Here is a 13,535-nt window from a genome sequence, read left to right on the forward strand (position 1 = left end):
AATATATTGTGATCATATCAAAGCAATATGTGTGGAATCCCATTTTTAGTGAAGAGTTGACTACAAAAAATTCATAGAAAGTATCTAGGATGTGAAGTTACAGGTGATGTTTGCTTCTGTTTGTATTTTCTAATCTTTCTATAGTTAATAGGTATTTCTTGCATAAAAAAAGACAACAAAAGTTATTTTACAGAAACAGGGAAATTCTACAAACAAAACAAGCAAAAAGGTGCGAAAAATATTTATAACAAGTGATGAATGGCTAATTTCTTTAATTTGAAAAAAAATCATACAAACCAGTAAGAAATGGATGGACAACCCAACTGAAAAACAGGCAAAGGATCTGAAGAAAGAGGTCCCAGTGAAAGAACTGTCCTTCTTACTTTTTCTACTACAACTGCCACTACTACTGGTAGCGGAGTCTTCCCAAGCCCTCACTGTATGCCAGGGGCTGTACTGAGCATTTCACATATGTTTTCTCATTTAATTCTCAAAACAACCCTATGAAATAGGTACCATTGTTTACAGATGAGGAAACAAACTACAGTGAGGTTAAGTGATTGCTTTATAATACCTGATTGGCACTCACAAGGGTTAGTATGTGGTTGTGTGAATCCAGACTAGCTGGCATCTGAACCCTGCCCTGCTCATAACCACAGTAGGTGGCCATTAATCCAACGAAAAATTGTTTAGCTCACTTGTAGTAAAAGAAATGCTAATCAAAAGAGTGGCACTATTTGTTTTTATTATTGGATTGGCAGAGATTAAAAAACTTGATACCCTATGTTGGGGAGAGTGTGAGAAAACAGGTAATTTGATAGTGGGGATGTAAATAGGTTAAGTCATTTTTTGGAGGGCAGTTTGGAGACATCCATTTAAATTATAAGGGCACTTACCCTTTGAACACAGCAAGTGCACTGTCAGGAATTTACCTGCAGGGATATTAGCAAAGGATGTATATTGAAGTGGAGTTTCAATAGCAGCCTAAGTGCCTATCAAAAGGTTAAGGGTTAAATAATAAAAATCTCTCCAAACAGTAGCTGCATACCATGGGCTGATATAGAAAGCTCTGCAAGATACAACATGAAGTGTAAGGGGGCGGGGCCTGGAGCAGTGCCTGGGCACACAGCCCGAGATGTACACAGCTTTTCCTGGAACCCTACACAAAACCCCTTGAACAATGGGTACCTTTGGGAGAAGAGAAGCAGACAGAAGACAGAAGGAGGGAGACTTTTTAGATTTTTTTTTTTTTTTTTTTTTTTTTTTGAGACAGAGTCTCACTCTGTTGCTGAGGCTGGAGTGCAGTGGTGCAATCTCGGCTCACTGTAGCCTCCTCGGTTCAATTGATTTTCTTGCCTCAGCCTCCTGTGTAGCTGGGATTACAGGCGTGTACCACCACACCCAGCCAATGTTTTCTATTTTTAGTAGAGACAGGATATGACTATGTTGGCCTGGCTGGTCTCAAACTCCTGGCCTCAAGTGATCCACCTTCCTTGGCCACACAAAGTGCTGAGATTACAGGCGTGAGCCACCATACCTGGCCAACTTTTTAGATTTTCTATCCTTCTGTATTATACTGTGCCTTTAAAAAAAAAAAAACCATGTGCATTACTAATTTTATTTTGGTAAATGTACAAATACATTTTTTAAAAGGCATTGATCATATTGCTAACTAAAAAGCAAAAAGAATGCTCTACATAGTGCAGCACGTGGGTCTAGGCCATGCCCTGACCCAGCAAGTGACCATCAGTGGCTCCATGCCATTGACTACCTTCTATGTGTAAATGACAGTATTTGAGTAGAAGAAGGAATTACTATTAGTACCTTAAAATGCTGGACATGGTGGTTCATGACCATAATCCCAGCACTTTGGGAGGCCAAAGCAGGAGGACCTCTTGAGCTCAGGAGTTCAAGACCAGCCTGGGCAATATAGTGAGAGCTTGTCTCTACAAAAAATTAAAAACAGTTAACCAGACATGGTGGCACATGCCTGTAGTCCTAGCTACTCAGGAGGCTGAGGTAGAAGGATCACTTGAGTCTGGGAGGCAGAGGTTGCAGGCAGAGAGTGCCACTGCAACTCCAGCCTGAGCGACAGAGCAAGACTTTGTCTCAAAAAAACACAAAAGCCTGTAATCCCAGCATTTTGGGAGGCCGAGGTGGGTGGATCATGAGCTCAGGAGTTCAAGACCAGCCTGGCCAACATGGTGAAACCCCATCTCTACTAAAGATACAAAAAATTAGCCAGGCATGGTGCCACGTTGCCTGTAATCCCAGCTACTCAGGAGGCTGAGGCAGGAGAATCCCTTGAACCCCGGAGGCGGAGGTTGCAGTGAGCTGAGATCGCGCCGTTGCACTCCAGCCTGGGTAACAGGGCAGGACTCCGTCTAAAAAAAAAAAAAAAAGGCTTAAGAAATCTCAAGTGCTGACTAAATCAGTGAGTTACTTTGTTTTTTTGTTTTGTGGAGCAATAAGAAAGCAGCAGGCCTGTGAGTTTCCACTTGGCTTGGTAGTTACTGGTTTCTTATATGTTCTTTTGGACATACCCTGGAATTTTCTTGCCTACCTGTGAAATTGAGCTACAGATGGCTGCACCTATCAGTTATGGTGTGGAAAGACTTTTGATTTTTTTAGATAAAAGGAACCTTTGAAATGCAAAATGAGATTAGAATGGCGACCTATAATTTCAGGAAGAGGTAGAAAGGATTTAAAAGGTGGATTCCAGTGTGCAGTTATCACCCTATAATCGTATCTGCTTTCATCTTGTTGTGATTATGTGTGCTGGTGTCCAAATTCAGGATATCTGGAAGCTCCTTGTAGAGCTTTTGAACTTTGAGCTTCTATGCTTTAATAATATAGGAAGTCACTGAAACAGTCTATAGTTTTTTATATAATAAACATAGCGTTTTCTTTTCAGACTCTAATTTTAGCCACAGGTTATCATTTACCTTATAATAATAGTCTTTTATTTGTTATAGGATATGAAATATATGTACATTTTGTACAGATGTGTAATGCAGTTTCCTAAAGTTTAATAAATATGCTTTTTTAAATAATAGCTTTGTTGAGATATAATTCCCATACCACACAACTTACCTATTCAGTTGCGAACCATCATGACAATTTTAGAACATTTTCATCACTCATCCCCCCAAAAATCCCCATACACATTAAATATTTTCTTAAAAAGGAAATCGTGAAGGAAAAATCAATAGTATGATTACAATATTAAGTATAAAACATATATATGTTTTACATTAATTAAATTTTAAAAATTTTAAAAAGTTTTAAACTCACATAACCAAAACAGAGGAGCAAAAAGGAGAAAATAGATGCAGCATATGATGTAGACAAGGGGCAAGTATAAGAAAAAGCTAGATTAATAAAATTGGCTATTGGATCTCAGAAGATTAGGCCAAACAGACACCATCATAAGGAAATGCAAATATTAAACACAAGTTATGGAAAAATTTCACCCTAATTAGTAATCAGAGGCATGCAAATCAAAATAAACTATCAGGTACTATTTCTTTTTACCATTTTAATTGCTGATAACTTTTAAAAAGTAACTAAAGCTGGCCGGGCGTGGTGGCTCACGCCTGTAATCCTAGCACTTTGGGAAGCCGAGTTGGGCAGATCATTTTAGGAGTTCGAGACTGGCTTGATCAACATAGTGAAACCCTGTCTCTACTAAAAATGCAAAAATTAGCCAGGCGTGGGGGCTTGTACCTGTAATCCAAGGTACTCAGGAGGCTGAGACAGGAGAATGACTTGAACCTGGGAGGCAGAGGTTGCAGTGAGCTGAGATCACACCACTGCACTCCAGCCTGGGCGACAGAGCAAGATAGCATCTCAACAACAACAACAAAAAGGTGCTAATGCTGGAGGTGGTATAGCAAAATTTTAAATTTTGCTGGTAGCTATATAAAGTCTTTGTTTTTATTTTTAGTTTATTTATATATTTATTTTTGACAGCTCCTGCAGAGCAGGGCTACTCCACAGGGATTGTGCTGAGAGTAGTCTATAAATTCTTAAAGCAGTTTATCAGTATCTATTAAAAGCCTTAACAATGTTTATTCCCTTTAACCGAATAATTCCACCGTGGTCAGTCTATTTGAAGAAAATAATCTTAAGCATACATAATATTGACAAAGATTTAGTCCAGCATTCCTCATAATGGCAAGGAACTGGAAACAACCTTGGAAATAAGTAAAAGAAGATAGAGTGAAGTCCCATCATATATGTATGTATCTTCTACAACAAAGTTCACTGTGCTTACAGGTGAGGAAAAGAAAGGAAGGGAATTAAAATAGTGCAAGTGTATCAAAGCATGTGGCCTGCAGCCAGCCTGAGATGGGAGATTGGATGCTTCTCCTTAGGTCGGACTTAGTTTCCTGTGTCTCTTAATGGGTGTTTCAGGGCTGAGTGCGACTCAGGGTTGAAGACGAGAAGCTTTTGTCCCTGGCCTCTAAATGTCACCTGGCCACTGTCCCTCACCTAGTGCTCAACCTTGGAAACCCTTTTCCTCTGTGTCTCTTTTTAAAGAAATTTAATAAATTCTTATTGTCTGTTTGAAATATTCAACAATTTAGGCTGGGTGCGGTGGCCCATGCCTGTAATCCCAGTACTTTGGGAGGCCAAAAGAGGGTGGGTCACCTGAGGTCAGGAGTTAGAGAGCAGCCTGACCAACATAGTGAAACCATGTCTCTACTAAAAATACAAGAATTAGCCAGGCATGGTGGTGCATGCCTGTAATCCCAGCTACTCGGGAGGCTGAGGCAGGACAATCGCTTGAACCCGGGAGGCGGAGGTTGCAGTGAGCCGAGATCGTGCCATTGCCCTCCAACCTGGGCAACAGAGTGAGACTCTGTCTCAAAAAAGAAAAAAAAAAAGGAAATATTCAACAGTTTAATATTTTGCTTCAATCTCTTTATAGACTGTATCATAAACTTTTCATTTTTATTTTTAGAAATCTTTTCCCCCGTTTTTCTTTTTTGCTATTTTCTCCAAAATGGGAAAGGTTATTGATACCATAAACTTTTATAATTTTCACCATAGGAATTTTTTTTTTTTTTTGAGATGGAGTCTCGCTGTGTCGCCCAGGCTGGAGTGCAGTGGTGTGATCTCAGCTCACTGCAAACTCCGCCTCCTGGGTTCACGCCATTCTCCTGCCTCAGCCTCCTGAGTAGCTGGGACTACAGGCGCCCACCACCATGTCCGGCTAATTTTTTTGTATTTTTAGTAGAGACAGGGTTTCACCGTGTTAGCCGGGATGGTCTCGATCTCCTGACCTCGTGATCAACCCCCCTCAGCCTCCCAAAGTGCTGGGATTACAGGCATAAGCCATCGTGCCTGGCCCACCATAGGAATTTATATACTGACATATATATAAGATTTTTAGCTCAGTTCTTTTTATGATACAGTTACCTTATATGTCCACTTAATGAAATACTATATGGCTATTCACAGTGATGGCTATGCAGATTATGTAATAGAATAGAAAATTTATGCCTATAGTGGTATAAGTGAAAAACATAAGCTACACAGTTATAATAACTAGGTAGAAAAACGCATAGAACCAAAAAGACTGGAAGAAAGAACAATTAGCTTTCAGGTGCCATTTACCAATTGTTGGGCATCTTTTTTTTAAAAATGATTTATTGTCAGGCATCTTTTAGCCCAGGTATCAAAATATAAAATTGACCAAGGACTTAGTGTACATCCTATATGTATATATATTTTTAATCGATTTCTATGCAGATGTTTCTGCACACCTGTCCGTGATTTGTCCCTCCTTCCCACTTGATAACTGTGTGGCCCACAGAATTCTTTGACCATAGTGATTGGACTTCAGAGTGAAGAAGTCCAGTTGCTTGTCAGTACCTTAGTAGTATTACCAGAATACCCAGTTTTTGCTAGGGTATCATATGATGCAGGAGGGCAGTTACTAGTAATGTTTCTTAGGTAAATTCTTTGAGCTGAGAGACAAGTTAGAGAATTCCCTTTGGAGATCAATTAAATTTAGGCTTAGAAAAGTAGAAGAAACAGACTTTATTACCCATTAAGAGTTCTCTGAGCTAATCAGTCTGGTTAACAAGTTATAGAGATATGCTAGAGGGAATGTCTCTTGAAGTCCAGGGTAGAGTTATGGACCAAGTTGGGAGCAGCTACCGAGGTCAGTCTGGGAAGGTAAGCTAAACAGCTAGGCTGGTTCACTGCCTGCCAGAGATGTGGTTGAGGATCACCATCCACGTTAACAGGGTGCATTTCAAGAAAGTGAAAGTGCCACTTTGAATTGCTGCTCTTTGACACATGTCAAAGTTCAGGAGAAGGGACATGCTGTGCGTAGGACATGGGGAAGATAGCAGTTGTACCAAGAATGAATGGAAGAGGAAGGGGAGCAGGAAACCTTGACTATTCCCCCAGGTGAGAAAGTGGAATTAGGTCATTGATACTTGGCTGGATCTGCCGGGCCCTTACTGACCCTTTGCCCTTCAACAGGTGACCCTGCCCTTAGCATGAGCCACTGGATGTTCCATCAGCAGGCCCTGCAGGAGTACATCCTGATGTGCTGCCAGTGCCCTGCGGGGGGGCTTCTGGATAAACCTGGCAAGTGAGTGTTTTCTCTCTGGGGAGGGAAGGGAGAGGGGAGGAGAGAGCAGAGGGGCGTGCACCTCAGGCCTACTCAGAGCCAGATCTCAAGAGCAGAGGTGTCACCTTCAGCACCTGCATAGCGCTAGGTTGTATGGGAAAAAGCACCCAGTTGGGAGCACCCCTTGAGGCCATTGATCTTGGCACCTCCAGCTGCCCGTCTTGTCCCCCAGCCTGCATGCAACCCCCTCCCCCAGACAGGGAAACAGATTGCTGGGTAGATAACTCTTCTTTTTTTTAAAAAAAACAAAAAAAAACTGATCTAAATAGAATAGGATACAGGATTTTAAAACCCCTCAGTGTTGTAAACAGAGACTGTAATCATGACAACTATTATAGAGTGGATTAAATGATTAAGCTCAAATCTGAGATGGCTTATGTGTTAGAAAAAGGGAAATAAAATAAGTCCTCTCACCTTTGTTACCCACCCTCTGTCTTCCCCCATCCCAGCACACGTCCTGCTGCTCTTGGCATCCAGGGGAAGGCCTGGTCCCACAATGTATCAGGAAGGATGTGGCCCATTTCTAGATATTTAGGTATTTTTCTAGAGAAGTGTATCAATTTATCATTAGTACTGCCCCTGGAGAGCCCTTTCCAGAAGACAGCTGGAGAGACTGACTTTAAAATTACAGTTTCCTTTAATAGTTTAAGGTAAAAAAAGAAAGAAAAGAAAAAAAATACAGTTCCCACTGCTGGGCAGGGCTGGAGGATGGGGCTTTTATTTTATTGTATTTTACTTTTTTGAGACAGGGTCTCACTCTGTCACCCAGGCTGGAGTGCAGTGTCACAATCATGACTCACTGCAGCCTTCACCTCTTGGGCTCGAGTGATCCTCCTGCTTCAGCCTCCCAAGTAACTGGAATTACAGGCATCGGCCACCACACCTAGCTAATTTTTAATTTTTTGTAGAGACGGGGTCTCCCATGTTGCCCAAGTTGGTTTTGAACTCCTGGCCTCAAACCGTTCTCTTGCCTCAGCCTCCTGCTTGCTGGGATTATGGGTGTGAGCCACTGTGCTCAGCCAGTGGGGCTTTAAATAACACTGCTGGGAAAACCATGCCTCCTCTAGCCACATGGAGGATGGGGGGGGACGTGTGATTGCACCAGTGGTCTCTGAATTGGTGTGGCTACATTTGTAGATGTGTGCGGAGCAGAGGAGCGCCTGCTCAGAGCTGCCTGTCCTTACAGGTCGCGTGATTTCTACCACACCTGCTACTGCCTGAGCGGCCTGTCCATAGCCCAGCACTTCGGCAGCGGAGCCATGTTGCATGATGTGGTCCTGGGTGTGCCCGAAAACGCTCTGGTAAGACGGGTGCAGGGCTTCACACCCCTTCTCCACAGGGACCTCGCGGACAGAAGGCTTTCCAAGTAAGCAGAACTGGCTCTGCATTTCCTGTGTGGACAGGCGGAAGCTTGTGGTCCCTCTGCCCTTCGAGCTGTGCAGCCGTTAGTGAGGATGTGACCACAGAGGAGACGCACCTCTGGGCAAGCTCAGGGTTCCAGATGGGCGGTCTGATCTGTCAAAGAGCTGTTGTGCCTTTATCCCAGGGCTGAGGACCTAGCCCACTGCTGGTATTAGCTTCCCCTAGAGGAGGCCACAGTTACGTGTCACTCTGAGGCTGTGAGTCCCAGCAGGCTCGTGATAGCACTGCAGCCATGCGGCACTGGCTGTACAGCCTGCCGCGTCTCTCCCAGAGGCTCAGCTTAGATGCCATCTCTTCAGAGAATGAGATCCCCAGAATGCTCTGCCTCAGTGCCTTGTTCATATTCTTTGTAGTACTTTACTCAGTTGGTGGTGTGTTGTTTAATGTGTGTTTGTCTGCTTTCCTGAAAAAACAATAGCCCTATGAGGGCAGGATGCTCACTGCTGCAGCCAGCTGAGGACAACCTGGAGGTGCTCTGAGCCTAGACGTGAGCCTGGACATGAATCCAATGGAGACTGTCCCCAGTGATCAAATCACAGGGCCCATGCAGACTGTCATGAATTTTTGTGTGCAGTTCCCTACTCTTACTAAGCCCTACTTCCACCAGTGTAAACATGGCCTGCTGCTACCATCTAGGTCACTGCCTTATTTTCTCATCTGTGTCATTGTAACCTTCCTTTTTTGTTTAAAAAAATTTTTTTTTTAATTTTTAATTTTTTTTTGTGAGACAAAGTCTCACTCTGTCACCCAGGCTGGAGTACAGTGGCATGATATTGGCTCACTGCAACCTCCACCTCCCAGGTTCAAGCAATTCTCGTGCCTCAGCCTCCTGAGTAGCTGGGATTACAGGCATGCACCACCACACCCAGCTAATTTTTGTATTTTTAGTAGAGACAGGGTTTCCCCATGTTGGCCAGGCTGGTCTCAAACTCCTGGCCTCAAGTGATATGCCTGCCTCAGCCTCCCAAGGTGCCAGGATTACATGTGTGAGCCACCACGCCTGGCCCCATCTTTGTTTCTTTTAATTGGGAAACATTTCAAATGGAAGAAACACAAATGGCCAATAGATAGTTGAAAAGATGCTCAACCTCATTCTTAATCAGAAAAACCACCACCCAGCTTTTCCAGGCCCTAATTATTTCCCCCTATTTGCCTCTTATGTAGCCCTCTTCCAGTTTTTTTTCCTCCCTCCTTCTCCAGAGGTAACCCTGTCCCAAATTTGACATGTATCATGCCTGTGGATGTTTTTGTGCTATTGCTACATACATATGTATCTATAAGCAATATATAGTTTTTTATAAGCAATATAACAGTTGCTTGCATGTTTTCAAACTTTTTGTAATGGTACCTACTGTACCAGTCATTCTGCATTGCTTTTTCCACTTGCCATTGTATTTTTGAGGTTTATCTGTGTTCACATGTGTTGCTCCAGTTTATTCATTTTAACTATTATATGATACTCCCTTATATAAATGTACCCCAGTGTGTTTCTCTGTTCTCCTGCTAGTTATCAATTTTTTGCTATTACAGTGTTGCAGTGAACGTTGTGGTATCTGTCTCATTGGGTTCACATGTTAGAATGTCTCCAGGAGGGGACCTGCTGGGTTGAAGGGGACACATATTGTCATCTTTGATAGATACCTCTGTAACTGCTCCCCAGTGTGGTTGTGTAAGATGAATCGATCCATAGTCAGACCTTTTCCTTTTTGCCAATTTGATGGGTGTGAAGTGGTATTTGTTTGATTTTGTGTTTTCCTGATTACTGGTGAGGTTGAGAATATTTTCAAATGTTTGTTGGCCATTTGTGTTGTCTTCTGCGAATTGTCTGCCAGTTCATATTCTGTGCTCATTTTCTTACTGATGGGTAACTTCAGTTGTTTTCCCTTAAGTATTTGTAGTTCTCTGTATATTTTTAATACTAATCTTCTATCAGTTACATGTGTGTAGTGAATATCTTCCAGCTTGTGACTTGTCTTTTCATTTTGTGACTCTGATTTGCATTGCTATAAGAGAATACCTGAGACTAGGTAATGTATAAAGACAAGAGGTTTATTTAGCTCATGGTTCTATAGACTGAGAAATTCAAGGGCATGGCTCTGGCTTCTGGCAAGGGTTGTGCTGCATTATAACATGTGGAAATCAAAGGGGAAGCCAACCCATGCAAACAGAGGAGAGCCTGAGAGCATCCTGGCTTTATAACAGCCTACCCTTGCAGGAACTAATCCATTCCCTCAAGGACTAATCCAGACTCCCCAGAGCAAGAGTGAGAGCTCACGCACTACTGCAAGAACAGCACCAAGGCACTCCTGAGGGATCCACCCCTCAAACCCAAACACATTCCACAAACCCCACCTCTCAACATAGCCATCTTGGGGATCAGATTTCAACATTAATTTTTGTGGGGACAAATAAACCACATCCAAACCATAGCATTTTGTTTTTGGTGTTTTTTTGTTAAATAGAAGATTTTAGGCCAGATATGGTGGTTCGCACCTGTAAACCTAGCACTTTGGGAGGCTGAGGTGGGAGAATCGCTTGAGCCCAGGTAGTCAAGGCTGCAGTGAGCTCTGTTTGCTCCAGTCTGGGAGATAGAGTGAGACCCTGCCCCCAGCACCCCTTCCCCACAAAAATATTTTAATATTTTAATTTTGAAGTGGTCAAATCTATTTGTCTTTTCTGTCATTCAGGGGTTTGTTTTTGGGGGAGGGTAGGTGAGGATTAACTTAAGGAATCTCTACCATTTTTTGAGGGAAGCAGACAAAAGGAGGCACACATTAAACAAATACATCACAAATTGTGATGCGTGCTATGAAGGGAATGAACAAGGCAATGCAGCAAGTCATTAAGTGTAACTTCTTCTAAATAGTCTAAAGCTTGCTTTTTTAATCTAGATTTTTAATTCTCTTGGATTTGGTTTCTGTGTATGGTGAGGCTTGGATATAATGTTATCTTTTTTCCATATGGATAACCAATTGACCAGCACCATTTACTGAAGTCTACAACCTTTCCTGCTGATGTGTATCTCATGTGTACCACACCCTCAAGTTTCCATACATGAAGGGGCCCTGTTTCTGGACTCTCTTATTTTGTTCCTTTGGTCTGTTTGCCTATCTGCACTCTTTTAAGCAAGTCTGAAAACAGGTAGGCAAGTCCTGTCTGCCTTGTTGTTTTTCTTCAAAATTGCCTTGGCTATTCTTTGCCTTTTGCTTTTTCCTGTGAATTGTAGGATCAGCCTGTCAAGTTCTAATGGGATTTTTATTGGAATTGCACTACATTTTAGATTAATAGGAGAGAACCAACTTTTTTTTTTTTCTTCCTGTCTTCCCAGGAGTACAAAGAGAACTGACTTCTTTTCAATATTTAGGCTTCCATTTATGAACATAATTTTTCTTTTCTTTAATGTCTTTCAGTGTTTTTTTTATAATTTTTTCCATAAAGGACTAGCATTTTTTTTTTTTCGGTTAGAGTTATGTCTAATTTACAGTTTTCATGTCTCTTGTGACTGGAATCTTTTCTTATTTTCAGTTTTGTAACTGTTTGTTACTAGTGTATAGAAATGCTAATAATATTTATAAATCTTGTGTCCAGCCACCTTGTTGAACTCTTTAATAGTTTTAAGTTTGTCTAAGTTAGTTTCCATTTTATTTTTCTTGCCTTGTATTGTTGGGTAAGATCCCCACATAGTGCTGACTAAAGGTAGTAGAGGGCATTCGTCTCTTGCTCCTGATTATAATGGGAAGGCTTTTTATAACCTGATCATTAAGCATGATGTTTACTGTAAGGTTGTGATAGTTACATTATATCAAGTTAGTGATATTCACTTTTATTCCTGATTTGCTAGGTTGTTTTTGTTAGTTTCAGTCATAAGGTAGTGTTAAATTTTATTGAATGCTTTCTCCGCATCTGATTTTTCTTCTTTAATATGATATGTTTCATTAATATTCTGATGTTAAGCCTTATATTCCCAGGATAAGCCCTTCTTGGTCATAGTAGAGGCAGTGTGTCTGTGTCTGTGTGTTTTGTTCAGTATACTGCTGGATTCAGTTTGCCAGTATGTTTGCCTAGTACTTTTATTTAGGATTTTTTTGCATGTACATTCATAAGAAAGATTGATCTAAAATTTTATTGTATTGTCCTTTTCCAGTGTTTCAGGATAATATCATAGCCTCATAAAATTAAATGGGTAGCTTCCTGCACCTCTTACCTTTTTTCTTTTTCTTTTCTTTTTCAGAGACATGATCTCACTCTGTCACTCATGCTGGAGTACAGTGCTGTGATCATAGCTCACTGCAGCCTGGAACTCCTGGGCTCAAGCTATCCTCCTGCCTTAGCCTCCCAAGTAGCAGGGACTACAGGTGCACACCACCAGAACCTGCTAATTTTTAAATTTTTTGTAGAGACAGGGTTTTGCTATGTTGCCTAGTCTGGTCTTGAACTCTTGGCCTCAAGCTATCCTACCTCAGCCACCCAAAGTGCTGGGATTATAGGTGTGAGCCATTGTACCTGGCCCCCGCACTAGCCCCTTTTTTTTTTTCAGTCCTTAAAAGGTTTGTATAGATCAGAGATTATCTGTTTCTTTGTAGGTTTGATACTACTTGCCTGAGAAACCATCTAGGTCTAGTATCTTTTAAGGTATGTGGGGGTGGCAGAATAAGCAATTGTTGTTACTAATTTCTTCATGTAGGCCTTTAAAAATTCCTTAAGTCAATTTTGGCAGTTTTCCTGGTTTTTAAAAATTATTGTTTTATCTGAATTTTTGTATGTTTCAGCATGAGGTTGCTCCTAGTATTCTCTCAAAATTTTTAAAATCTCTCCTGCAGTTGTGTCCCCTTCTTCATTATCCCACAGTGGGAGAATCCTGAATATTGGCCTAGGATTATGCCGTGTCAAATCTAAAGTTTCTTTTGGGTTTCTGTGATGTACTAGAATAACATCTATTTAATTTAAATTTCATATTTAAATTTTGTTTATATATTTAAATATGATCTGACAGCCTTACTACATATTAGGGTTGTGGTCCTTTTTTCTTTTTTTTTTTTTTTTGAGACAGAGTCTCGCTGTTGCCCAGGTTAGAGTGCAGTGGCACAATCTTGGCTCACTGCAACCTCCGCCTCCCGGGTTCAAGCAATTCTCCTGCTTCAGCCTCCCAACTAGCTGGGATTACAGACACTCACCATCATGCTCGGCTAATTTTTGTATTTTTGTAGAGACGGGGTTTCACCATCTTGGCCAGGCTGGTCTTGAACTCCTGACCTCGGGTGATCCATCCACCTCGGCCTCCCAAAATGCTGGGATTACAGGCATGAGCCACCGCGTCCGGCCCCCTTTTTCTTGATTATAAATGTAAATACATGTTTATTGTTTTAATAATTGGGATACATAAAATATAAAAAAGAAAATGAAAAACAATCATATCACTATTAATATTTTGGTATGGGTACAATTTTTGCTATTTATATACATC

At 41.4% G+C, this 13,535-nt stretch overlaps 3 protein-coding genes across 5 annotated transcripts in view; 2 read left to right on the plus strand and 1 right to left on the minus strand.

Moving 5' to 3' along the window:
• CHURC1-FNTB (CHURC1-FNTB readthrough) overlaps positions 1-13,535 on the plus strand; it is a 148,295-nt gene that overhangs the window by 132,379 nt on the left and 2,381 nt on the right. For both annotated transcript variants that reach the window (NM_001202559.1, NM_001202558.2), the window contains 2 exons: positions 6,499-6,610; positions 7,836-7,950. In NM_001202559.1, coding sequence (NP_001189488.1) covers positions 6,499-6,610; positions 7,836-7,950 — 227 coding nt within the window. The remainder of the gene's footprint in view (positions 1-6,498; positions 6,611-7,835; positions 7,951-13,535) is intronic.
• The window catches only part of FNTB (farnesyltransferase, CAAX box, subunit beta), a 75,756-nt gene that overhangs the window by 59,845 nt on the left and 2,376 nt on the right, over positions 1-13,535 (plus strand). Inside the window, exons 10-11 of the mRNA NM_002028.4 lie at positions 6,499-6,610; positions 7,836-7,950. Coding sequence (NP_002019.1) covers positions 6,499-6,610; positions 7,836-7,950 — 227 coding nt within the window. The remainder of the gene's footprint in view (positions 1-6,498; positions 6,611-7,835; positions 7,951-13,535) is intronic.
• MAX (MYC associated factor X) overlaps positions 1-13,535 on the minus strand; it is a 96,595-nt gene that overhangs the window by 40,639 nt on the left and 42,421 nt on the right. The gene's annotated exons all lie outside the window — the stretch shown is intronic.

Source organism: Homo sapiens, chromosome 14 (genome assembly GCF_000001405.40).
Source record: "Homo sapiens chromosome 14, GRCh38.p14 Primary Assembly".
In the NCBI taxonomy this organism is placed as follows: Eukaryota; Metazoa; Chordata; class Mammalia; order Primates; family Hominidae; genus Homo; species Homo sapiens.